Genomic DNA, 26,951 nt, shown 5'->3' with positions numbered 1-26,951 from the left:
TATTTTATTTTATTTTTGCGACAGGATGTCCCTCTGTTGCCCTGGTTGGAGCACAGTGGCATGAACCCGGCTCAGTGCAGCCTTGGCCTCCCGGGCTCAAGTGATCCTCCCACCTCAACCTCCCAAGTAGCTGAGACTACAGGTGTGTGCCACCATGCCCAGCTAATTTTTGTATTTTTTTTGTAGAGATGAACTTTCGCTATGTTGCCCAGGCTATTCTTGAACTCCTGAGCTCAGGCAATTCTCCAGCCTTGGACTCCCAAAGTGTTGGGATTACAGGCAAGAGCCACCAGGCCCAGCCTCAGAAAAATTTTTTAAAATAGTTTTTATCCAACTGTAAGCATCACACATGCTCAGCAAAAGAAACTTGGGAAACAAAAATATAAAGAAGAAATCATTTCTTTATTGCATAATTGCACACTTGGAGATAACCACCAAATAGTATTTTATCTGTAGACTTTCCATCTTTTTTTCTATAAATACACATATGCACATGCCCCTAACAGATGTGGCCTAATAAGTGTAATAATAATGTATATGTTTATGCACACCAAACAGATGTGCAGTCCAAACTGCTGAATGTAAAGCAAGTACTGTTATACTCTGTTGTTAAAAATCTATTATTGGAAGGCTGGGCTCAGTCGCTCACGCCTGTAAACCCAGCACTTTGGGAGGCCAAGGCGTGTGGATCACCTGAGGTCAGGAGTTCCAGAGCAGCCTGGCCAAGATAGCGAAACCCCATCTCTGCTAAAAATACAAAAATTAGCCAGGCGTGGTGGTGGGCGCCTATAATCCCAGTTACTCGGGAGGCTGAGGCAGGAGAACTGCTTAAGCCTGGGAGGCTGAGGCTGCACTGAGCCGAGATAGTGCCACTGCACTCCAGCCTGAGCGACAGAGTGAGACTCCACCTCAAAAAAAAAAATTTTTTTTAATTGCATAGAGAGAAAGATCCACGAACTTTCTTCCTAAGGCATAATTGGGTGAAAACAAGGTATTTGGAATCAGAGCCGATTTCACAGTGAGTCTCCATGTGAAGGGCCCCTGTGTTCCGTTTTGCTTTGAAAACTCTGTCTCTCCGGGGCCTTGCTGTAACTGTCAAAATGCGTGCTCAGCATTAGCCCCGGTTTTTTTCTTGCAAAGGCTCCCTCGAGAGCTCTGTTTTCCTAAGTGAAGGAGATTGAAGCTGAGGGGAACATGTTTGGAGCCACAAGATTTCACGGAACTTTCAAAAGCCTCTCCCGCGGCTTTGGCTTTGCTGAGCACTGCTGGGCTTCATGGTGGAGCCGCAGAGCAGCCGCTTTCCTGTGTTCAGCACCGCCGCCCCCGAACTTAGCCCCTCATCACCACGTGCGGCTCCGCTGCTCTCTGAGCTTCTAGTAGGGCAGCTCTGACTTTGTAGGGCACCGCTGGAACCTAGAAGAACGGGAAAATCTTCCCTGAGCCCCAGGCTAGATGAGCCAACTCCCATGCACCCTGTTTAAAGGAGAGCTTCAAGAGTTTTCAGTCAGGTCCTGTTTATTCTTGGTTTGCACACAGTTCTAACAGGTTTTTCCATTCATAGCAGATTTGAAGTTGTGGTAGAGACTATGGAGTGATGAGCAGCAAGAGGTGATCACTGACAGCTAGGGAGGACACAGAAATGACACTGAGTACAAGCACAGCACCGAGGCCTGAGCCTGGGCGTGGGGACCTCCATTGCCACACGCCGCACCATGGGCATCCCTGTGCTGTGGGACAGTGACATGATAAGTGAGCCTGGTGACCCCAAACCATCAAGTAGAAGTGAAATTGAGGTCGGCGTATTATGTGAAGAGTGCATTATTCATTTTAATGAGCACTTCATCAAAAACATTTTTTTTGGAGACAGTCCTGTTCTGTCACCCAGGCTGGAGTACAATGGTGCCATCTCTGCTCACTGCAGCCTCTGCCTCCTGGATTCAAGCGATTCTCCTACCTCAGCCTCCTGAGTAGCTGGGATTACAGGCGTATGTCACCAGGCTAGGCTAATTTTTGTATTTTTAGTAGAGATGGCATTTCTCCATGTTGTCCAGGTTGGTCTCAAACTCCTGGCCTCAAGTGATCCACCCACCTCGGCCTCCCAAAGTACTGGGATTACAGGTGTGAGCTACTACTGTGTCCAGCCAAAGGCATCCTAAGAGAAGCTTGAGGGGCTTAAAGCTTTGCTACCTGGGAAATTCATGTAAGTGGCGAGATGGTTCTCTGATTTAATTCAGTTCTGCAAGCTTGGTGTGCCCAGCCCTTTGGAGGCAAAGCCAGGAGAGGCGAAAGGTGGTGCTGTGGGCATTTCCCTAGTACGTTAGCCTAGAGTCAAAGGCTGCCGTTGGACAAATTTAAGTTGGAGGAAGCAGGAAGGAAGGGGGTTACCTTACAAAGAGGTGGTTTCTTCAGGGAATTGCAGTTCCTTACAGTGTCTTTTCTTCTTTAAAAACATGTATTACGGCCGGGCGTGGTGGCTCACACCTGTAATCCCAGCACTTTGGGAGGCCGAGGCGGGCAGATCACAAGGTCAGGAGATCGAGACCATCCTAGCTAACACGGTGAAACTCCGTCTCTACTAAAAATACAAAAAATTAGCCAAGTGTGGTGGTGGGCGCCTGTAGTCCCAGCTACTCGGGAGGCTGAGGCAGGAGAATGGCGTGAACCCAGGAGGCAGAGGTTGCAGTGAGCCGAGATTGCACCATTCAACTCTAGCCTGGGTAACAGAGCGAGACTCCATCTCAAAAAACAAATAAACAAAAATATCTATTCCTAGGAGTTTTGATTCAGTCCTTGTTGGTCTGCTGGTTTGTGGATTTGTTGTTTTATTCATTCCTTTATGCTGCAATTATGAACTGAGGCCCTACTCTGTACCAGGGACTGTGCTAGGAACTGTGTGTACAACAGGGAAATCAGCATCTGCCCCCACACGGAGGGCAGAGAAAGATCAATGCTAAGAAGGAAATGCAACAGGGGATGAGCTGAGAGGTACTGGAAGAGGCCTGCTAGGGTCTGTGCTCAAGGAGGGCTCCCTGGAGAGGTGACTGGGATCTGAATGGCAAGCGGGATCTGGATGAGAGGACCTGGGAGCCGGGACCTTCCAAGGAGAGGTGAGCGCAAAGGCCCCGAGGCAGGGGCAGCAGGTGCGTTAGGGGGTCAGCATTGTAGGAATGTAGCACATGAGGGGGTGGTGAAAGTTCAGTTGGGAGGGACTGGCTGGGTCAGGCCCCGAGGCTGTGGTAGACAGTTTAATTGCAGGGATGTGAACAGTGGCTGTTTATAGAATGTGCTGGTTGGGCTGGTAAGGCTTGGACCTCTTACAGCCTGAGCCCCTTGGCTCAGGTCCCTAGTTCAGGGCTGTGCCCGTCCCATACCAGTTGGGCAAGAGAAGGCGGATGGCTTGGTGCAGAGCCAGCTCCGTTATTAGAAAGTCAGCCGTGAAACCCTGACCTCCTGACTGTGGCTCACCATTTGTATGGTGAGTGGGAGTGGCCTGAGCTCTGCCCCTCCCCTCTCCCCCCTTCCCCCTCTCCCCCTGCCCATCACTCCCTGGATATGGAGATGCCAGATTCATCACTGTTATCACAGTGCATGCATGAGCTTGGCCCTGAGCACCAGAGGCAGAAGTGGGGGATTCTAGTCCAGCCCTGCCGCTGTCTGACCCCAGGAGGGTTCTGTTTCTTACTGTGGCTTCTGAGTCCCCATCTGTAACATGGGGCTTTGGGCAAATACTCTGCTACCTCTCTGAGCTGCGCTGCCAAGCAGTCTATGAGCGTTCAATGCCCTGGTGTTAAAAAGTCACTGATAACTACAGCCTTATTTCCTTAGATCTGACTCCCCCTGCTGCCCCTACCCCAACTTCTTTGACTTTATTTATATATATATTTTTGAGGCAGGGTCTCACTCTGTCACCCAGGCTGGAGTACAGTGGTGTGATCTTGGCTCACTGTAGCCTTGACCTCCTGGGCTCAAGCAATCCTCCCACCTCAGCCTCCCAAGTAGCTGATACTACAGGCGAGCGTCAACATGCTCAGATTTTTTTTTTTAATTTTTTGTAAAGATGGGGTCTCACTATGTTGCCCAGGCTGGTCTCAAACTCCTGGCCTCAAGCAATCCTCCCATCTTGACCTCCCAAAGTGTTGGGATTGGAGGCATAAGCCACTGTGCCCGGCCTTCTTTCACTTTAGAATTTAGTTACTGTGAGATTGTGGACAAGACTTGCTCCCTCTCCGTGCCTAGCTTTTCTCATTTGTGAAGTGGAGGTTATAATAATAAGGTATTTATGAACTCCTGACCTCAAGTGATCTGCCCACCTCAGCCTCCCAAAGTGCTGGGATTACAGGCATGAACCACTGCGCCCTGCCTATTTTAATTTTTTTTATACTGGGTCTCCCTCTGTCATCGAGGCTGGAATACAGTGGCACCATCATGGCTCACTGTAGCCTTGACCTCCCAGGCTCGATCCATCCTCTAACCTTAGACTGCTGAGTAGCTGGGACTATAGGCATGTGCCACCACACTTGGCTAATTTTTAAAATATATTTTTCTAGGGATGGGGTCTTACTATGTTGCCCAGGCCGGTCTTGAACTCCTGGGCTCAAGCAATCCTCCAGCCTTGGCTTCCTAAAGTGCTGCTGTGATTACAGGTGTGAGCCACAGTGTCTGGCCTAAAATTATCTTAAGTTATTGAATTAGTACATGCTTATTGTTAAGATAAAGAAAAGAAAATTCATGTGTCCAGGTGGGTATGAAGTGAAAAGTTAAGATCCCCCAGTCCTGCCGCTCCTTCTCTCTTCTTAGCAGGAAATCGATGACGTTATTGGTCCTTTCAGGCTGTACTCAAACATTGAAGAATGGAACACATTGAAGTCTGCTCAGTGACTTAAAGTTGTTCCATATGAAAGATTTAAAACAAAATTCTCCTCTGGCACATTTCTTAGCCCCAGTTTACACACCTTTCTTGCTCAGAAGCCTTTGGTTTAAGTTCTATATACAGCGCAGCATGGTCTGGAACAGCCATGAGCTTGATGAAGATAGAAAGGTCCAGATCATTGCACATGGCAGCTTCGTGGCTTTCTCAGTCCATGGAAGAGAAGGGCATGGGTTTGGGGTTGTGGGGTGCTCATTCTTCTTCCATGAATATCAGGGGTCCCCATGCCTACACTTAAAAGCAGATTTTGGGCCGGGCACAGTGGCTCATGCCTATAATCCCAGCACTTTGGGAGGCCGAGGCGGGTGGATTAGCTGAGTTCAGGAGTTCGAGACTAGCCTGGCCAACATGGTGAAACTTCGTCTCTACGAATAATACAAAAAAATTAGCCGGACATGGTGGTGCACGCCTGTATTCTCAGCTACTCAGGAGGCTGAGGCAGGAAAATCGCTTGAACCCGGGAGGTGGAGGTTGCAGTGAGCCGAGATCGTGCCATTGCACTCCAGCCTAGGTGACAAGAGCGAAACTCTGTCTCAAAATAAATAAATACACAAGCAGAGTTTGCGTCTGCTAGGGTGCCTTCCCGAGGCTTTGGATCTGGTGCTAAACTCTAGCCTGGAAAAGCAGAGATGAGGTGGCCTTCTCCACTCAAAAAGAAGTCCTCAGCCTCTGGTGCTTACAAAAAAAATGGAAAACCAGCAGTTTGGGAGGCTGAGGTGGGCGGATCACCTGAGGTCAGGAGTTTGAGACCAGCCTGGCCAACGTGGTGAAACCCCGTCTCTACTAAAAATACAAAAAGTAGCCGGACATGGTTGCATGTGCCTATAATCCCAGCTACTTGGGAGTCTGGGTCGGGAGAATCAATTGAACCTGGAAGGGAGAGGTTGCACTGAGCTGAGATCATGCCACAGCACTCCAGCCTGGGCAACAGAGTGAGACTCTGTCTCAAAAAAAAAAAAAAAAAAAAAAAGCCTTGGGTGAGATGCTAGTGCTCCCAGCCACATCCTTGACAGAGAAAGGAGCCATGAATGGGGTCCCTTTTTAGCAATGCAGTTTCTTTGAGTTTTCCCAGAACGTAAGAGGGGAAAAATGCTTCCTTTTTCAACGTAAGTAAGAGGGGTGGGCCAGCTATTGAGGGCCTCGGAGGGTGAGAGAGGGGCTGTCCGGCCTGTGGCAGTCATTTGGGGGCCCATTCTCTCCCTTGCCCCATTATTTCTCCAAACAGGACCTTGGCCTGAGTGCCCCTGCATGACCATGGTCCCCTCTCCTGGGTGGTGGCAGAGGCTGTGGTGGTGGCCAGAGCCAGGGACTTAGGATGTGTCAGTCTTATGGGTGCCAGGTGACATTTGCTCCAAAAGATCAAATGCAGGGAAGAAATGGGTATTTTCCAGCATGCTCCGCTAGAAAGGGCAGGTGTGGTTTTTTGTTCAAACAGAAGGGAGGTTGGCTGTCTGTGTACACCGTAGCCATCTGCCTCACGAGGGTCAGGATGGGAAGGGCAGTATTCGAGATACTTTGAGATGTTTCTTGCAACTTTAAAATGGTATTTGGTGCTGGGCATGGTGGCTCACGCCTGTAATCCCAGCACTTTGGGTGGCTGAGGCGGGAGGATGACAAAGTCAAGAGATTGAGACCAGCCTGGCTAACATGGTGAAACCCCGTCTCTACTAAAAATACAAAAATTAGCTGGGTGTGGTGGCACGTGCCTGTAATTCCAGCTACTTGGGAGGCTGAGGCAGGAGAGTTGCTTGAATCAGGGAGTTGGAGGTTGCGGTGAGCTGAGATCGCGCCGCTGCACTCCAGCCTGGCGACAGAGTGAGACTCCGTCTCAAAAAAAATAAATAAATAAAAGTATTTGGGGGAAGAGGAGGGGAGAGTGGCACTCAGAGGAGCATTCAACTCCCCTTCCGATGGCAAAAGGCAAAATTAAAATGCCTTCACCCCCAGCAGAAAGTGAGTCATGTCATTTGGGCCTGGAATTTGAATCGTGTGGACGGTAGAAAAAAGCGGACAATCCGCTCCACACGTGTGACCGCCACACGCGTGAACCCGTGAGCTTGGGAGGGGATATCGTCCAAGCGAGGTCTCTCTGATCCCGCTGGTGTCCAGACTCCTTCTGGAGTTCCAATCCCACCCCTGGCACACTGTCCATCTCTGGCTGGTCTGTCGTGAAGCTGGAGAGCCGTGCAAGGCGACAGAGCCTTCTGTGTGGCCCGTCCTGGCGCTCTGGGGCAAGGGCTGACTTGAGCTGCTTCGTCTGCTCATCTGCTGTCTGCCAGCTGCCCTCAGACCTCCTCCTGGGTGCAGCCCGTTCCCACTTGAGAGGGAGGTGGTCTTCACTTTAGGGGGTAGGCACATCCCTGTTTGCGCCTTGCCCCGACAGCCTCGTCAATGCCCAGCCACTTCTGAGGGCTGGAGGGACAGGAGCTTCCTTTCTTCCCCCTTTCTGTCTCCTCGCGTGGGTACAAAAGCACGTCTGTAGTCCATGTGTGTGAAGAGAGGACGCATTCTAGAGCCGCAATTCAGAGACGGCGGTGCTTCCACCTTCTTTCAGCGATTTTCATATACAAGCGAAACCAAGTTCTTAAAGCAGATATGATATCCCGCTAATTAAACTTTCATTGCCTTAAGGAATGATTTTTTTCCTCCTGTGCTGGATTAAAATAAAATGGCAGAGGGTTTTGAAGAGAAGAGAGGATGCATGTTTTGTTTAGGTCTTCTGTACTTGTCTTCTGAGAAGTGTTAAAATATTTATTAGGCTTGAAACGCAATGAATGGAGACAGTGACGCAATATTCACAGAGGGGCCTTCAAGGCTGGTTGAGGTCCTCGTTTCTGCACAGATGAGTATGCGTCAGGGGGACGTCCTTTCCTGGAGCGGCACATTTGGAACAGTCTGAAGTTGGGGCACTGCATGGATATTTTTCTTTCAGGAAGGCAAATCCTGCTCAGCCATGGCAATGTCTGGGATCTGGAGAGGAGGTGGCTTGGTGATATAAAGACCTTGTTCTGCAGGACGGTTGTGCAGAGTTGCACATCTGCAGGAAGCCTCCCTCCTCATTTTTGTCCGAGTCTCACTTCCAGCAGCCTGTAGGATTGGATCCCAAGGCAACGATGCTAAACAGTTTACAGTCCAGGCGTGCAGCTTGCAGATGTGGGGCTGCCAAAACCCCAAAGCTTGCTAAGCCGCAGCTGTCTTGGCCAAAAAAAAAAAAAAAAAAAAAAAAAGATGCAGAATGCAGCTCAGCCGCCAACTTGAGTTTTCCGCTTCACCAGCAGCCGTTTGTTGGACGGATGGTGGCCTCAGCTCTGTTCCCGTGTCTTCCACTCACCTGCGGCCTCCTGCTTAGCCCAGATAGCTCCATTTTCTTCTTTCTCTGCCTTGTGGACCCTTAAGGAGTCTGACCGTGTTGTTCAGGTGCCCATCACAGTCCAAACCTGGTGAGGTCATGTCTCCCCCTCAGGGATCCCTGCTTGTTGGAACTGTCTGGGACCCCTAGGCCCATCTCATTTTCTGTGTTTGAGCCGGGGTGAGGTGAAATCAACAAGCCAACTGGATGAGCCTCCTTGGACTGTCATAAGCAATGACCCCAAGTCAAGTGGCTTCAAACAGCAGAAACGTATTCGCTCAGCAGAAACGGATTGAAAATATGACATCAAGGTGTTGGCAGGGCCCTGTTCTCCACAAGACTCTGGTGGGTGGTGGCGAGAGGGTGTGGGGGGTGCTTACTTGCCCCTTCAGCTTACAGACTGCTGGTGGCTGCCGGCACTCCTTAGCGCTCCTTGGCACGTGGCTGCATCACCGATGTCTCCCTCTGCCTTCACACGCCTTCTTCCCTCAGTGTGTCCCCTCCTCTTCTGATAAGGACACCCAGTCCCTGGATTTAGGGCCTACCCTAAATGCAGTATGATTTTATTTTGAGACCCTTATGCAACCCTCTTTTCAAATGAGGTCCATTCTGAGATTCGAGGTGAATGTAAGTTTGGGGGAACACCATTCACCCCACTACTGACCTTTGGGGACATATTGTTTCTCACTTAGACACATGGATACACTCTTAAAGAATGTATTTGGAGCCGGGCGTGGTGGCTCATGCCTGTAATCCCGGCACTTTGGGAGGCCTAGGAGGGTGGATCACCTGAGGTCAGGAGTTTGAGACCAGCCTGGTCAATGTGGTGAAACCCCGTCTCTACTTAGCTGGGTGTGGTGGCGCACACCTGTAATCACAGCTACTCAGGAGGCAGAAGCAGGAGAATCGCTTGAACCCAGGAGGCGGAGTTTGCAGTGAGCCAAGATCGTGCCACTGCACTCCAGCCTGGGTGACAGAGTGGGACTCCATCTCAAAAAAGCAAACAACAACAACAAAAAAGAACGTATTTGGGATCATTGTTTTTAGATAGGGTGTGTTTTTAAAATTTAGTATCAGTCATTTAACATTCACGGGCAGTTTTCCATGTTACTCTCTTTGCAGCCCTCGTTTTTATTGTCCTGCCATGCGAGTGGCAGATGGCCTCATGGTTGGGAGTGGGGGCTGCAGAGCCTGCCAGGGCTGGCCTTCCGCCCTTCTCTTTTGCTCACTGTTATGGGCTGAACTGTGCTCCCCTCCCTAATCCATATGTTGAAGTCCTAATCCCCAGAATGTGACTTTATTTGGAGATAGGGCTTTAAAGGGGTAATTAACATTAAACAAGGACATTGAGGTGAGCTCTAACCCAATCTGACTAGTGTCCTTGTGAGAAGAGGAGGTAAGGACACACGTGCACCGGGGAGACCCTGTGAAGACGCAGGGAGAAGGTGTGGTCTACGAGCCGAGGACAGCGGCCTCAGGAGAAACCAACCCTGATGGCACCTTGACTTGGACTTCTAGCCTCCAGAACTGTGAGGAACCCCTAAGCCCCTCGTTTCTTCCTCTGTCAAATGGGGGTCTTCAGAGCGCTGGAGGGAGAACTGAATGAAAGAATGCCCACACGCTGCCCAGCGCAGGGCTGGAGGGCACTGCAGCCGCGTTGGTACTAGCCGGGTTCATTTCCCCAGCCTCTGCTGCTGCACAGCGCACGATTTCTCTTCAGCCACTGGTAAACACTTACTGGGCCCCAGTCACAGCTCTTTTCCCTGTGATAGATGAGGCTCTGGCCAGTAGCTGGGCACACGATCTCTGGCCACTTTCTTGGAAGAAAGTTTTAGGTGCATTCTCTTTTTTTTTTTTTTTTGAGACAGGGTCTGGCTCTATCACCCAGGATGGAGTGCAGTGGCGTGATCTTAGCTCACTGCAGCCTCAACCTCCGCGGGCTTAGGTGATCCTCCCACCTCAGCCTCCTTAGTAGCTGGGACTACAGGTGGGTGCCACCAAGCCCTGCTAATTTTTATATTTTTAGTAGAGACAGGATTTTGCTATCCGCCCGCCTCAGCCTCCCAAAGTGCTGGAGTTTCAGGCATGAGCCACCGCACCCGGCCTTAGTTGCATTCTCCATCCTCTAAGTCACCTTTGCTGAGCCCCGTCCCAGGAGCACCCTGTTGCTGTGTGCTCCTGAGCCAGGCCCAGGGGGTCGTTGGCCGGTGGCAGTCAGAAGTCTGCCCGTGCACCCCATGTAAAGCAATCAGGCTTCCCACAGCCCAGGCGCACGAGGGCTTTGGGGGCGACATCCTCTCCTTTCTCCAGCCTGTCTGGGTCCAACAGCCACAGCTGCCTCCCAGTCACTGCAGCAGCACGGGAGATGGGCAAGGGCTCTCAGAGGAGGAAACCTCTGCCTGAGGGACTTCTGCACTCGTGGGGCATTTCACACCTGCCCCAGTAGGGAGTGGCCCTTATGCTCTTAATAAATAGTTCGCAGCCCCCTCCCCTCAGGCTTGCTGGCAGCCTTGGGATCTCGGGATCTCGGGGTCGAGTCCTGCCAGCCCGGTGCAGCCCCTGAGCTTCCTCCCAGCCGAAGCAGCCTCCTTCCCTCCCCCTCCTCCTCTGCCCTGGGTGCCCCCAGCACCGGCCTTTTTTCTTCTCTACTTTGAAGTCTGAGCCTCAGAGCCACTACAGGCAAACAGGATGTTCCTCTCCCACATGCAGACTTCACACGAGACGCTTGGGTCGCACCGCATCCTGCTTAGAGTGGTGGGTCCCATCTGCGTGGACCTGGGGTGGGAGTGGGTACAGGACTGAGGCTGGGTGCCAGGTGGGACCTTCGTGCAACTGGTTTCATTAGTCACATTTGAGCGTTCATTGCAGACTTTGAACTAGGTGAGCCTCTGAAAGTTTCCCCTTGGGGACTCTTGTGCCTGGAAGGGCTGAATAAGGCAGATGGTGACGCTTGCTTAGCACGTCGGTGGGAGGCCATGAAGGAGTAATGGCGTTTCTCATCCCCCACCTCAGCCCTGGCTATGATTTTTGTATTTTCTGGGATTAAAAAAAAGTTTGTTTTTTTTTTCTGTAAACCTCAGCAAATTACAATCACACCTGGAATTACAGGATGGCTACAAGATAGATGACTGCTCTAGTGTGGCACAGGACAGGGGCTTAAGGAGGCAGGGTCTTGCTGAGCAGCTGGAGGACTCGGGCAAGACTAGAAGGGCACCAGGGGATGGGCAGGCGCTAGTTTAACAGTTTAAAGAAAACCTAAAGTCCCAGGTCTTTCTCTGGGTTGTGGACTCTGTTTATAGCACAGTGACTCAGGCAGTTCTGCTGTGGTTGAAGCCATCTTGGGAAGATGAAGGTGTAAAATTTGAGGGTTCCAGTTCCCTCCTGAAGCACCTCCCATCCTCCAAGCAGATGTTCTGAGTCCTTTGAGTCCCTCAGATGTTTGTTTTATTTTTAATTTTTATTTTATTTCTTTTTTTTTGAGACAGAGTCTCACTCTGTTGCCCAGGCTGGAGTGCAGTGGTGTGATCTCAGCTCACTGCAGCCTTTGCCTCCTGGGTTCAAGTGATTCTTTGGCCTCAGCCTCCTGAATAGCTGGGACTACAGGTGTGTGCCACCACGCTCGGCTAATTTTTGTATTTTTAGTAGAGACGGGGTTTCACCATATTGGCCAGGCTGGTCTTGAACTCCTGACCTCAAGTGATCCACCTGCCTCCACCTCCCAAAGTGCTGGGATTACAGGTGTGAGCCACCGCCCCCAGCACCCTCAGATGTTTAATTTACAAAATAGTGTATGTGTGTTGGGAGAGGGCAGCCTTAAAAGATGTCAGGGTTTTACCATCCACTTGACAACCCCGCCTGGCAGTCAGTGACATTCTAGACATCTCTGGAACTTTCCACTTGGTTGTTCCGTGTACCAGGGTGAACCATGTGGATTTTTAGTTGCAGAGTGTACTGCGAGTTAAGTGGAAAGGTCTGAGAGAGAGAGAAATGAGGGGTGGGAAAGAGATCATAGCCCTTGACAGCTGGAAAAGGCTTTGTGCTTCTCTTTCTCTGCCCCTTTCCTGGGGCAAGGGAGGAGGGCAGATGGCACAGGATTGGGTAGCAGTGGGGGAGAATGAATGCTGGTCACAAGGACTGTGGCCCAGAAAAGAGGTTCAGTGGCGGCCAGAGGAAGCTACTGTGCCTGGGGACAGCCCTCTGAGCACCTGCCATGCCGGCGGGGGCAGCCGTCTAATCTGGGGCACTTCAGCTCTGTCGGGTGTCCTCTTCGCTCACCTGACATACCTTAGAGTTGTTTCATTCTAGGGATGTGCTCCCCAGCCTGTCTGATGGCACAGATGTTGGCATTCTGCAGCTGGCTGCTCTATTCTTTATTTGGGACCTGTTCCCTTGCTAAGATTATAGTTTTGCTGCCCTGCCCTGCAGTGAGCACGCCTCATTTTGACTCCTGGTACAATAATAGGTTTGTTTGAGATCTCGGATGCCAGACTTACTGGGAGTCTTAACAATGCTGGCATCATATGATATGTCAGTGATCTTTTTAACACCACTGTCTCTACAGAAATGGTTTCTATTCGGCTGTCTCAAGCTCTTGGAGAAATACATCCTTGTCTTATCTAGGCAAATAAAGTGGAGAGTCTTGAAGGACTTCTTGGTACAAGGGTCTGAATCAGTGCTGTGTGAATCTATATTTCCGTGGAAAATAAAGGCATATTTGTTCATGTGACTGTCTATATATTCCATTGAGATTATTGCATAATGACCAAAAATCTCCAGGAAATCTGCCTTGTCTAGCAGATGACTTATTTGAGCTTTCTTAGTGTGTTCTTTGCACATGTTAGTATTCTTTGGCACATGGTAGGTATTAATACATATCTGATGGGATGATTTATGGCCTGGATTAGCCTCAGCCTTCAGACTCTTTTTTCTTTTCCTCCTTAGATCTTTAATCTCATGAAGTACGACAGCTACAGCCGCTTCTTAAAGTCTGACTTGTTTTTAAAACACAAGCGAACCGAGGAAGAGGAAGAAGATTTGCCTGATGCTCAAACTGCAGCTAAAAGAGCTTCCAGAATTTATAACACATGAGCCCCCAAAAAGCCGGGACTGGCAGCTTTAAGAAGCAAAGGAATTTCCTCTCAGGACCGTGCCGGGTTTATCATTGCTTTGTTATTTGTAAGGACTGAAATGTACAAAACCCTTCAATGGGATGTGTGTTTTATTAACTGCTTCACCAGTAAATTTTGCATGATGGCTAAGCTAACATAAAAAAAGAATAATAATAACTTGGAAGTTTTAGTTTACAAAACAGAGATTCCTTCAACACTGGACACGTCGAGCATTTTGTAGCTTAATTAAACCTCATGTAAGGCCACAAGGTGAAACGTATCACACTACCTTTTACCTTGTAAGTGTTTGCTCTGCCTCTCTGGTGAGTGGACGCATGTCCACAGGTCACTTGGTAAATTAACTCAAACATGAGTTGATCCGGCAAACCCAGGCTACTGGGGGTATGGCCTGCCAGTCGCCTTTTGGGTTAAATATTTCTCGAGAGCAAGTTCAGTGCTGGAAAAAGAAAATGAATCACTGACAGCCTCTAAAGACTTGGGAAGCTTGTGTGTGAGTGTCATCAAAGGGTTATTATTTCTTGTGCGTGGGTTGGTCCTGGTTTTGACCACAACCCATGACATTTCATGCAACACAGATAAATAGTTCATCTTGACAGAAACAAGATCTCAACCAGGAAGGAAAAAAAACACAAGTGGGAAATTGTTCAGGGTCCCCATGGCAACTCAAGGTGTTGTTGAATGGGATTGTAGCACAGGTGCGTACTGAGGTTGGAGTTGGTGGGGCTGTTCCCTTCTCCTGTACCCATCGGGGACACATCATAATCCTTTCCTCTCTGCTCCTGCCCTTTGCTGAACTTGCTAACTCTGGCTTGAGACTTCAACGGGGAAAAGAAATGCTGCCTTGAAGCCTGCCCTTCTTGGGTGAGGAGGCTGTGAATGGGGCACGCTTGGGCCAGGCGGGGCACGCTTGGGCCAGGCTGTCCCCGCCAGCCCAGGAACTCCACTTTTAGAGCAGAGCCCACCAGGGCCAAGGTCAGGCTCAGTTCCCTTTGGTGAATTGTTCCTGCTATTTGTAGGGGGTTGGGTGCTGCCACCAGGCCTTTTCCAGGATGTTTGCTAAGCCCTTTCTATTTGTACAAAGTGACCAGCTTCTGTTGCGTGTGAGCCTCCCAACTCAGACTTTCCTGTTTGCAAAATTCACTAATGTTGAAGGTGGCTGTATAATTTATCAATCAAACTAGGACACTTTTGGGAGAAAAGAGGGGGTGATCTCAATAATTAGACTAGGATAATGCCTATTACAAGCCCTAATCTGGTTCTAGTCTGGGTCAGTTACCCTACTGATGGCTGTCCCCCATATGAGCTCCTGGGCAGCCCCCCAGATTCCCTAGCCTCGCTGTCTAGACACTGTGGTCAAATGTTTCCTGCCCTTCCATCCAGGGCCTGGGAAAGGGATGGTCTTCAGGGAACCGTTCACTGCCAAGCACTAAATAACCCAACAACATTCATCAGAAACAGCAAACACAGGCTTCTCCACCCTCCTCAGGTACTTCCCAGACAGGCCTACTCTGCGCCTGTCTTCTCTCTGCCTATTTCCAGAACTTAGGAAGGAGACGGTTATGCTGAGAATGACACACAAGGGCCCCGTGATCAGAGAAATTCAGTTCATTGTCAAGCAGAGCAGATTGGTGCATTTATTATTTATTTTTGAGACAGAGTGTCGCTCTGTTGCCCAGGCTGGAGTGCAGTGGCATGATCTTGGCTCACTGCAACCTATGCCTCATGGGTTAAAGCGATTCTTCTGCCTCAGCCTCCTGATTAGCTGGGATTACAGGCATGCACCACCATGCCTGGCTAATTTTTGTATTTTTAGTAGAGACGGGGTTTGACCATGTTGGTCAGGCTAGTCTCAAATTCCTGACCTCGTGATCCTCCTGCCTCGGCCTCCCAAAGTGCTGGGATTACAGGCATGAGCCACCGCGCCAGGCCTATTTTTTATTTTTTGAGATGGAGTCTCACTCTGTCTCCCAGGCTGGAGTGCAGTGGCATGATCTCAGGTCACTGCAACCTCCGCCTCCCAGGTTCAAGCGATTCTTGTGCCTCAGCCTCCCAAGTAGCTGGAATTACAGGCACCCACTATCATGCCCAGCTAATTTTTGCATTTTTAGTAGAGTCGGGTTTTCACCATGTTGGCCAGGCTGGTCTCGAACTCCTGCCTTCAAGTGATCTGCCCCCCTCAGCCTTCCAAAGTGCTGGGATTACAGGTGTGAGCCACCGCGCCTGGCTAGATTGATGCATTTTAAAGAGTAAAGATGAAAAACAACACAGGTTCTCTAGCTCAGCTTTCGGTTTATTAACCGGATGCAGTTCGGTTATTCAGGGATGTGGGGACAGCCCACTGCACCATTGCAGACGTAGGGAGGCTTCATGGCGACCTGATTGACTCCCTTTGGAAGAGCCTGTTGTGGGCAGGTCCCAGAGACTGAAGGTGGGCGAGGAGGCTGCTCTCTGACTTTTCCCCTTTTATCAATGGGTGCAGAGACTCTTTGAGATGACCATCTCTTTTTAAGAGTTTGAATAAAGCAAATAGCCAGAGTTAGCCAGAAGATCGGACATTAAAAGAAAAGCCTTCCGCCCGCCCCCACTTAGGAGCTGCCTGAAGAGCTGAATGCCAGCAGGGTGGTGAGCCTCAGAGTTTAATCACCATTTACTCCTACTAGCGTGAACTTATGCCACTCCCTCTGGCTTGCTCCTGCCTGATTGCCTACGTCTATGCCAGTCGCAGAAATGAGGCATATGCAGAATTTAGTGTCCTGAAGCAATTGCAAATGTGAGGCTGAAGTGTAGGGACCCGCGTAGCCAAACAGATGCTTCTACCCAGCCCTTTGCTTTCGTCCCTATGCCCATCCATTCATCGATTAGCGTTGAAATTGTATCTTTGGCTGGGTGTGGCGGCTCACACCTGTAATCCCAGCGCTTTGGGAGGCCGAGGCAGGTGGATCACCTGAGGTCAGAAGCTTGAGACCAGCCTGGCCAACATGGTGAAACTCTGTCTCTACTAAAAATACAAATATTAGCTGGGCATGATGGCGCATGCCAGTAATTCAGCTACTCAGGAGGTAGAGGCAGGAGAATCGCTTGAATCCGGGAGGCGAAGGTTGCAGTGAGCTGCTCTCCAGCCTGGGCAACAGAGCAAAACTCTGGCTTAAAAAAGAAAGAAAGAGAGAGGGGGCGGGGGGGGCGGGGTGGGGAGAGAGGGAGAGAGAGAGAGAAAGAAAGAAAGAAAAAAGAAAGAAAGAGAAAGAAATTGTGTTTTCAACGTGCCAGAGACTGTGCTAGGTGCCGAGATTCACAGGGGGAAATAAAGCAGCAATGATGATCTGTGCTCCGGTGGGGTTTACAGATGTATGAAAATACAGGTTTTCTTACTATTCAGGCCTAATGAGGCCAACAGTCAGGAGACAACTGCCACTGGAGAGAGTTTGTTGCTCGCAGTTCCTAAGCTGAGGTGGCATGCGATAGTCATGCAGGGCCACGTGGGGGAAGCACCAGGGTCAGGAGGCAGCCCAGAGGGAAAATGTGGGCAAGAGCCTCTACTGTGGTTTCTTTGGAAAAGGCAAGCAGGGTAAACAGGCTTCGGACGGGCTGGTTTGAGTCATTTCAGCAGGCTCTGGGGTATAGGGACTGTCCCTAGTTGTCTGGCCAGCCCGTGAGGTGCTTAGGGCAGATGGGTCATGGCCCCCAGTGTGAGAGTCTGATCAAGGAGGCATCTGGGTTACATGCTCTGGATTGGTTGCTTTGCATATTAAAGGTACACCCTAGTTGTTTACTATCTCTAGGAATTAGGGGGCCCTGCCCGGGAGGGGCAGTCTCTCCAGTGTCAGCAAGGCCCCAAGTGAGCATTGGAATAAAAAGACGTGCTAGAGACCCAGCATGGTGGCTCACGCCTGTAATCCCAGCACTTTGGGAGGTTGGGGCGGGCGGATCACCTAAAGTCAGGAGTTTGAGACCAGCCTGGCCAACGTGGTGAAACTCCGTCTCTACTAAAAATACAAAAATTAGCCGGTGTGGTGGCGCACACCTGTAATCCCAGCTACTGGGGAGCCTCAGGCAGGAGAATCACTGGAACCTGGGAGGCAGAGGTTGCAGTGAGCTGAGATTGTGGCACTGCACCCAGTCTGGGCCACAGAGCGAGACTCCATTTGAAAAAAAAAAAGACATGCTTGATACAGCCATCTGCAGGGGTCTCAGACTCCCAGCCAGCAGGCCATAGATGCGTTTTGCTGTTTCATGGGGTGTAAGTTTTAAATCTTTTTGCAAATGCCTGAAGCAGAGCATGATTGTAATCTCTAGTTGGCTGCAGGCCCCACCATTCCCTATTGCCTTACAGCAGGCCACTCCCATATTTGTGTTATCTGCTGGCTCCATATTTTGTACTCTGATTTCTAGTTCCCATGTGCAGAGAGCACAGCCTGGGTGGCCTTGTCTTCTGTGACTTTGCAGTCATTCATTATACCTCCAAATCCACTCTGCTTACCTGCTGGCTTTCTGAGAGTAAGTTGCACACCATGTCTAACCGTGGTCCTCCACTGCCCCGCCTTCTCAATTGCAGAACTCCCCTCTGAGGTGTGAGGGGAACCACATCACACTTGTGGAACCCCTTTCCAAGTGCTTCTTTCCCATCGCGTCATCGCAAACCCTTAAAAAGTGGGGGGACAGCTATTCCTCCTGTTTTAGAGATGGGAACACCAAAATGGATGACGTGGCTCACATGAGCACATGCTTGTGAGTGGCAGAGTCTGGGACAGGAGCCAAACCTTCTGTCTCCTACCCAGCTCCCTTTTTGGTCCATCCTCTGCCTGGACAGGGCCTTCGGGAAGTCCAGGGCTGGAGTGAACATTGGCCTTTTGGGAAAGATGCTCATCCACTCACACAACAGATATTTAATGTGCACCTATTACATCCAGGCCAAATACTAGACACAGGAATGTAGGGGGATGAAAGAATGAGGCATTAACCCTGCCCTTGGAGAGCAATTGGCTAGGAGAGGACATGAAGTCTGCACCAACAACTGCCATCAGAAAGAAAGTGACCAGCCCCTGGGAGAGGGACTGATGGGACATGCCTGGGTGGTTGGGCTCATCTCTTCAGTTTACGAGCGGGGTTGTTTTGCCTTTCCCATAAATATCAGGATGTTAAGTTTCATGTTGACACTGGCAGTGAAGTGATTCTTTCAAACAATGTGAGCATGAGTGCTCTGTTCTTCAGGGAATAAGCTTTTTATTTCAGTTTTAAGTGAACTCCAGATAGCAAAGTGACAGTCAGTTAGCTAAGTTCCCCTCATGACTTGCTAATGAGGACACGTGTCCTTTTGTGTGTGATAGAGTTAAGGGCTGATTAATTGGTACCCAACTCTCAGGCCATGGCTCTGAATTTGGGAGGATGCTTTGTTTACAATCTTTGCAAACTACTCATGACTCACATTCTGTCATTATTTACTTTCATTTTGGCTGCAGATGTTCTAGAACTTGCATTTATTTAAGTGCTAAATAGTCTTGTAACATTAGCTTCCAGGGTTTTAAAAACTCTTTTCTTCACAAGGTTAGTTGCGTCCAATGCAGTGAGTACTGTAAAAAGTCTGGTGCCCAGGCAGGGAGGGAAGAAACTTCACACACAGCTGGAGCCAGGGGTAGAATCACTGTGTTGAAATGGTCCCTAAACCTTGGGCAGAGCCCAGGGCTCCCCTTGGATTGCCACAGACACTACAAGCTTTGCAAGTCCAAAATTGACCAGGTCTCTGAGTGAGAATCAGGGGCTTGAGCAACTTCGCACTTGCAAGGGAGGGTCTCAGGGTGAGGGTCTTGCACGGGTGCCCTGTGCTGCATGCTTGTTTAGAGGAGCCCTTTTCCTGATTCCCACAAGGCCACTGGGTAGGGGCAGCTGGAAGTGGCCTGAGAGTCTCCTCTGTCCTGCACTTCGACATCTGATCATCAGAAAGTCCTCTAGATTCTTCTCCAAAATATAGCTTCACCGTGTCCATGCCTGCCATCTCCATGGCCACGGGCCCTGACCAGGTCACCTCATCTCTTGCCCAGAGGCTCCTCCTCCTAGCTGGTCTGTCCTCCTCACGCCACACCCCTGCTCCTCATCTTCATCTAGTATCCTTCTTTTTTTTTTTTTAAGAGACATGGTCTCACTCTGTTGCCCAGGCTGGAGGGCAGTGGTGTGATCATAGCTCACTGCAGCCTCAAACCCCTGGGCTCCAGTGATCCTCCCACCTCAGCCTCCTGAGTAGCTGGTGCTATAGGCACACACCACCACACCTGGCTAATTTGTTATATATATGTGTGTGTGTGTGTGTGTGTGTGTGTGTGTATGTGTGTGTGTATATAATATATATATATATATATATATTTTTTTTTTTTTTTGTATAGATGGGGGTCTCCCTATGTTGCCCAGGCTGGTCTTGAACTCCTCACCCTAAGCGATCCTCCAGCCTTGGCCTCCTAGAGTGCCGGGATTACAGGTGTGAGCCATCGCGTCTGGCCTAGTATCCAGTTTTTTAAAAGAACAAACCTGGTCATGCTGCTCACTCTTCTTAAGCCCCTTTTGTGTCTTTTTCTTGTTCTCAACATCAAAATTCAGATCATAACCAAGGCCCGGGACATGTAGCTCAGTCCCACCTCACCCTCCATCCTCCACGACTGGCCCTTCCCAGCCTCACAGGCCTGAAGCCGACCGGAAGCAAGGCAGGATGTTGCTTCCCGCAGCCTTTGCGTGGGCCACGGCCAATGCGCAGAGTGGCTTCCTCCAGACCCTGGTGTGGCCGGCTCCTTCTCATCCTTCAGGTCTCAGGCTGTGTGTTAGCTCCTGAGGAGGGGACCGAACCCCTCGAGGCAGCCCCTTCCCCCTCATTCACAGCCTGCCACCCCAGGGCTGCCCATTGCTCATGGCCAATCCATGCCTTTGTCATAAAAACACAGATTGGAGGCCGGGCGCAGTGGCTCATTCCTGTAATCCCAGCATTTTAGGAGACTGAGACGGGCAGATCACTTGACGTCAGGAGTTCTAGACCAGCCTAGTCAACATGGTGAAACCCCGTCTCTACTAAAAATACAAAAATTAGCCGGGCGTGGTGGTGGATGTCTGTAATCCCAGCTACTTGGGAGGCTGAGGCAGGAGAATTGCTTGAACCTAGCAGGCAGAGGTTGCAGTGAGCCAAGATTGTGCTACTGCACTCCAGCCTGGGAGACACAGTGAGACTCCATCTCAAAAAAAAAAAAAACAATAAAAAAAACACAGATTGGAGGGAGAGAAGCCCACCCTTTCATGAGCACCTCCCCTGTGTGCAGGAGATGTGACTTCCACTGTGTCAGTGGAGAAGTGAGCTCCAGCAGCATTGAAACTGCACTAGGTCACCACGACTCATAGTGGGGCTAGGACTGGAACCCAGGTCTTTTGGATCCCCAGAGCCCACCATCCATCACTACACCAGGCTGGGCTTATCCAGCTCAGGCAAATCTTTGGTCATTCCTGCTGGAAAATGTGACTCTGTCTCTGTTCTCCCAGGAAGAAGGCTACTACCCAGCCAGTCTTGGCCCATTCTACCCTTTCCTCTATGGGATACACAGAGGGCCCCGGCCCCAGCCAGGGAGGCAGAGTCAATGCTTCTTTAAAAAGCCTAGTTTGTGTTTGCAACCAGTTTTGTTTTTTGTTTTTTGTTTTTCCTTTAGTGATATATCATGAGCATCTTTCCATGCCAATAAACATAATTATATACAATCCAAAAAAAAAGGCCTGTTTTGAGATTATCTAGGAAAGATAAATGTTTCCCTTGTGCTAATTCCAGCACCGTTTATATGCTGCTTTGCAACACAGGCAAACTGTTTTCTTCTTCTTTAAGCATTTAAACTCTGTTTTTTAAACTGTTATGGCATACAGATCGCAAAGAGTAACAGATGTCTGCCTGATAGACTTGTTTCCCAGGAAAAGAATCTGCTGCTTCTTGGTCTCCAGAGGAAGGATGACTTTGCAAGTATGTGGCTTTTGGTCTCCTTCTGCCCCTCTCACCCCCATAAGAATGGGGGAAGAAATAGAGCACCGCAGACTGCCTCATAAATATCTGTGTCTACAGATCCTGGCTGATTGCAGAGGCAGAGGCGAGACTCTGATCTCCCAGGAGGCTGTCCCTGTGCCTCCCAAAGGGAATATTTCTCTCTTTTTTCCTAAAGGAGCGAGGTCACTCATCATGACCTGAAAACATGAAAATGTGGGTCCACCTTTACTAAATTTGCAGGTTTCCCCAGAACCTTAGCACTAAAAGAACCTCTGTCAACTATCATCATCATTATTATTATTTTTGAGATGGAGTCATGCTCTGTCACCCAGACTGGAGGGCAGCAGTGCACTCTTCGCTCACTGCAACCTCTGCTTCTGGGTTCAAGCAATTCTCCTGCCTCAGCCTCCCGAGTAGCTGGGATTACAGGTGTGCGCCACCACGCCCGGCCAATTTTTGTAGCATTCGAAGAGATGGCGTTTCACCATGTTGGCCAGGCTGGTCTCAAACTCCTGACTTCAAGTGATCCACCCACCTCAGCCTCCCAAAGTGCTGGGATTACAGACACGAGCCACTGCGCCTAGCCTCATTATTTGTTTATTATTATTATTTTACTATTGGTTAGCATGAGAATTGTGGTTATGTTCATGTCATGAAGTTCAACTGCCTAAATTCTATCCCAGCTCCGTCGCTTATTAGCCCTGTGAGCTTGCGTAAGCCATCATGGATCTTTTCAAGCCCAAGTTTTCTCAATTATTAGATGGGATAATATTGGTCCCTATGCCTTAGTCTGTTTCATCTGCTATAACAAAATACCTGGGTAACTCAAAAACAACAGATATTTATTGCTCACAGTTCTGGAGGCTGGGAAGCCCAAGATTAAAGACACTGACAGATGAGGTGTTTGGTGAGAGCCTGTTTCTCATCCATGGTGCCTTTTATGTCCTCACATGCTGGGCACATGCTCAGCTGGAAAGGGCAAGCAAGTTCCCTAGGGTCTCTGAGCACTGATTCCCATTCATTCAGGTGCCGACCCAGAGCCTTCATGACCTAATCACCCGCGAAAGGCCCTGCCTCTTTTTTTTTTTGAGATGGAGTCTCGCTCTGTCACCCAAGCTGGAGTGCAGTGGCATGATATGGGCTCACTGCAACCTCTGCCTCCTGGGTTCAAGCGATTCTCCTGCCTCAGCCTCCTGAGTAGCTGGGATTACAGGCATGCGCCACCACGCCTGGCTAATTTTTGTATTTTTGGTAGAGAGGAGGTTTTGCCATGTTGGCCAGGGTGGTCTCGAACTCCTGACCTCAAGTGATCCGCCCGCCTTGGCCTCCCAAAGTGCTGGGATTACAGGTGTGAGCCACTGTGCCCCAGCCGGCCCTGCCTCTTGATATCATCACACTGGGGACTCGGTTTCAACATGTGAATTTGGGGCGGGGGTCGGGGGCGGCACAAACATTCAGACGCTAGCACTATATAAAATCCAATGAGATAATACATGCAATGTGCGCAGCACAGTGCCTTGCGCACAGCGGCTTAATAAACCTTGGTGATTATTATGAGGCCACCAAACCAGGGATAGGTCGTGTGGTCTGCCTAAGGTGCGCAGGGAAGGGTAGCAGATCCCGGCCGGGTCTGACTCCTGGATCCTTGCCTGGGACTCTTTCACTGTCCCCCCAGTCCCCCGCACACACATGCACACGATGTTACCCCGCGTTCGAGTCGTGATCGACGGGCAGCCAGCTGGACCTGAATGTCATTCAAATGATTGCAGGCTCGAAACCAGGGGTGGGGGGGCTCTCAGGAGAGGATTTGGGCCCAGAAGGGGACATGCAGGGGGAAGCCAGAGAAGTGAGAGGGAGATCTGAGTGGTGGGTGCCCCAGCAGCGTAATATGGCTCCATTTCCAACCTGGAACCAGGTTGTTGCCTCTCCAGACATTTTGTGTCCGAAGGAAGGGGAAGGGAATTCAGTAGACATTCTTTGGAGGAGCCTCTTGGACTTCGGTGACTTTTTCTTGACAAGAACCATGGTCTCCTAGGGCAGAGCTGCCCACATGCTTTTCTGGGAGGTCCCGGGCTCCCCAGGCTCCTTGGAGTAGAAGGAAGTCTGGGGACCCCCGAGAGCCTGCCTGAAATTCCTGGCTTGAGCTCACGGGGGAGCTGGTGAGCTGTGGAGGGAGGCAGCTCCCGGGGTTCTTGCGGGTCCCTGCAGCACGGGAGGACCCTCCAAGGCCCTGGGCACCCATCCTGGTCAGACCGTCCCCTCCCACCAACTTTTCTCCTTGTCTCTCCCAGAAGGGTGCCCTGGGGAGACCCTCTCCCCAGAGGCTGGGACTGGGCAGGAAGGTGGGGCAGCTGCTCCCATCCTTTCTGCCCCGCACAGTTCAGGCAGTTCATCTTCGGGCAGGAAGATGAGGTTTCGAGGTACTTCCTGGGCTTGCGCTGACGTTTTTGACTACCGTCCCCGCCCCCACCCCGCCCCACTCTCTAGTTTGGCCTCTGCTGGCTCCAAAACCCTCTCAAATATCCCACGAGGGTCATTAGTGGGAGACCTTTGTTCAGTTCATTCATTTTTTAAATCAATGCTATATATTTTTTTAATGCTCGGAAACAGTGTTTTGATGTGAGTTTATTACTTGAAGAACTGCAGGACTTTGTACAACAAACTGCCTGATACTAAAGTTATATTAACAAAGAGATCAAGAAATGACTGGCTGTGTGCACAGAGGCTTAAAGGTTTAGTGTGGCTGAGATACTAAACGTCTCTCTTTCCCACCACTTTATTTTATTTTTATTTTTGAGACAGAGTCTTGCTCTGTCACCCAGGCTGGAGTGCAGTGGCATGATCTTGGCTCACTGCGACCTCCATCTCCTGGGTTCTCATGCCTCAGCCTCCCAAGTAGCTGGGATTATAGGCGCATGCCACCATGCCTGGCTAATTTTTGTATTTTTAGTACAGATGGGGTTTCATCTTGTTGGCTAGGCTGGTCTCAAACTCCTGACCTCAGGTGATCCACCCGACTCAGCCTCCCAAAGTGATGGGATTACAGGTGTGAAGCACTGCACCCAGCCTCCCATCACTTTATTTTAAAAGTGTATTTCCAAATCCTCGTCTTCTACCTCGGGGTGGTCGTTCCAAAATGTTTTATTTCTGAAGCTTCCCAGATAAGCAGCTACAATTTCACTCTTTCCTCCCCAGCTCACTGGGATGCATTTTTTCTTCTTCTTTTTTTTTTTTTTTTTTTTTTTGGTGGAAGGAATTTTTTTTAAAAAAACTAAGACGTACCTAATTTCAGTAAAGAGTAAAGTACACAAATCTTAAGTGGAGAGCTCTATGGATGTCTCCATTTGTCTACACACTCATAACTACCACCGCATTCGGCTATGGAATATTTCTAGCATCTGGGGTGCAGAGTTTTTTTTGTTGTTGTTTTTTGTTTTTTTTGAGACAGAGTCTCACTCTGTCGCCCAGACTAGAGTGCAATGGCCCGATCTCGGCTCACTGCAACCTCTGCCTCCCAAGTTCAAGTGATTCTCCTGCCTCAGCCTCCCAAGTAACTCCTGACCTCAAGTGATCTGCCGCCTCGGCCTCCCAAAGGGCTGGGATTAGAGGCATGAGCTGCTGCACCCAGCCTGGGATGCAGTGTTTTTTTGTTTGTTTGTTTTTGTTTTTTGAGATAGAGTCTCACTGTCACCCAGGTTGAAGTGCAATGGTGTGATCTTGGCTCACTGCAACCTCTGCCTCCCAGCTTCAAGCGATTCTCCTGCCTCAGCCTCCTGAGTAGCTGGGACTACAGGCACATGCCACCACGCCCAGCTAATTTTTGTATTTTTAGTAGAGGCGGGGTTTCACCATGTTGGCCAGGCTGGTCTTGAACTCCTAACCTCGGGTGATCCACCCACCTCAGCCTCCCAAAGTGTTGGGATTACAGGCGTGAGCCGCTGTGCCTGGCAGTTTTTAAGGAACACTGTGTTTGTCTATTTGGGCTGCGGTAACAAAATACCTTAGACTGAATGGCTTAGAAGCAACAGACATTTCTCACAGTCTGGAAGCTGGGAAGTCCATGACCAGGGTGCTGGCAGATTCAGGGTCTGGCAAGGACCAGCTTCCTTCACAGATGGACGTCTTCTCCCTGTGTCCTCACATGGTAGAAGGGGTGAGGCAGCTTTCTGGGGCCTCTTTGATAAGGGCACGAATTTCACTGGCGAAGTCTCCAGCCTCATGACCTCCCAAAGGCCCTACCTCTTAATACTTTTGCTTTGGCTTTTAGTTTCAACATGAATTTGGGGGTGAGGACACAAACATTCTGATCATAGCAAGCATCTCCTTGAGAAGTCCACCCAGGTGGAACATTCGACGTGAGCCAGGAGCTGTGGTGATGCTGGGGATGGGGTATCGAGGGTCCTGGGCCTCTCACTGTGCTGTCATCCTGACGCCCAGCTCTGGTGTCTCAGTTCTCAGCAGATGGATAATCCACACACTCTGTCCTCAACTCCTCGTCCAGCCATGTGGAGTGAGAAGAAGGTGGCCCCTCCTCCTCCATGCATGAGCTTTTTGAGGTTGTATTCTGATTTTTCCCATTAGGGAGATTGGCTACTTCACAAAACCTTCAGCAGCCAAGGTGCCATTTTGCCTATGTCCGATTCTGTGGCAGAGTTGGGAGGAGTTTCAGTGGAGTTGTCCATATTTTTATATTCCTGCCTATTCAGTGCAAATCATTTTGCTCAGTTTACCACTAACCCATCACTTTTAACAAACTTTGTATTAGGACAATTTCAAAATATTCCGAAAAGTAAAAACACAACCATAACAAAAACATTACCTTGACTTAATAATGAACACTTTGCCATGATTCATTTCTCTGCTCATGTTTTGCTGGCAAACTATTTTAAAGAAAATCAGACATAATGCTTCACCTAAAACAAGGACATTTAGTACACCTAATAAAATGAACAATAATTCCCAATATCATCTAATACCTACTCCATATTCAAACTTCCCAAGCTATAGAACATTTTGAAATGTCCTTTTTTAAAAAAATTATTTGTTTATTTATTTTGAGACAGAGTCTTGCTCTGTCACCCAGGCTGGAGTGCAGTGGAGTGATCTCGGCTCACTGCAACATCCACCTCTTGGGCTCAAACGATTCTCGTGCCTCAGCCTCCCAAGTAGCTGGGATTACAGGCGTGGGCCACCAGGCACAGCTAATTTTTGTATTTTTAGTAGAGACGGGGTTTTACCATGTTGGCCACGCTGGTCTCAAACTCTTGACCTCAAGTGATCAGCCTACCTTGGCCTCCCAAAGTGCTGGGATTACAGGCATGAACCACCACACCTGACCTGAAATGTACTTCTAAAAACCAGGATCCAATAAAAAAAAGTTGGCATTGTAATATCTCTCAATGTAGACCAATCTTCAATCTATTTTTAATGTAGTGGCAATACCATTTTGAAGACACTAGGCCAAGTATTAGTGTAAAACGACCCATGTTCTGGATTTGTTTTATTGTTTCTTCTTGGTGTCCTTTAACTTGTATTTCCTTCACTTCTGAG

General features: G+C 49.6%; 1 protein-coding gene across 2 annotated transcripts in view, besides 3 other annotated features; it reads left to right on the top strand.

Moving 5' to 3' along the window:
* The window catches only part of RGS10 (regulator of G protein signaling 10), a 42,903-nt gene extending 29,243 nt beyond the window's left edge, over positions 1 to 13,660 (top strand). For both annotated transcript variants that reach the window (NM_001005339.2, NM_002925.4), the window contains exon 5: positions 13,218 to 13,660. In NM_001005339.2, the coding sequence (NP_001005339.1) occupies positions 13,218 to 13,364 (147 nt within the window). In that variant the 3' untranslated portion in view covers positions 13,365 to 13,660. The remainder of the gene's footprint in view (positions 1 to 13,217) is intronic.
* Positions 2,663 to 3,162: an enhancer, noted in NCBI's record as "H3K4me1 hESC enhancer chr10:121269827-121270326 (GRCh37/hg19 assembly coordinates)". NCBI's record gives its function as "activates a minimal SCP1, AML or CMV promoter by ChIP-STARR-seq in primed H9 embryonic stem cells {active_cell/tissue: H9 hESC(primed)}" and the evidence as "EXISTENCE:reporter gene assay evidence [ECO:0000049][PMID:30033119]".
* Positions 3,163 to 3,664: an enhancer, noted in NCBI's record as "H3K4me1 hESC enhancer chr10:121269325-121269826 (GRCh37/hg19 assembly coordinates)". NCBI's record gives its function as "activates a minimal SCP1, AML or CMV promoter by ChIP-STARR-seq in primed H9 embryonic stem cells {active_cell/tissue: H9 hESC(primed)}" and the evidence as "EXISTENCE:reporter gene assay evidence [ECO:0000049][PMID:30033119]".
* Positions 16,741 to 17,080: an enhancer, noted in NCBI's record as "active region_4121". NCBI's record gives its function as "activates an Ori minimal core promoter by ATAC-STARR-seq in GM12878 lymphoblastoid cells {active_cell/tissue: GM12878}" and the evidence as "EXISTENCE:reporter gene assay evidence [ECO:0000049][PMID:35858748]".

The sequence above is a fragment of the Homo sapiens genome, chromosome 10 (genome assembly GCF_000001405.40).
Source record: "Homo sapiens chromosome 10, GRCh38.p14 Primary Assembly".
Lineage (NCBI taxonomy): Eukaryota > Metazoa > Chordata > Mammalia > Primates > Hominidae > Homo > Homo sapiens.
This window is presented reverse-complemented; position numbering and strand designations above follow the sequence as displayed.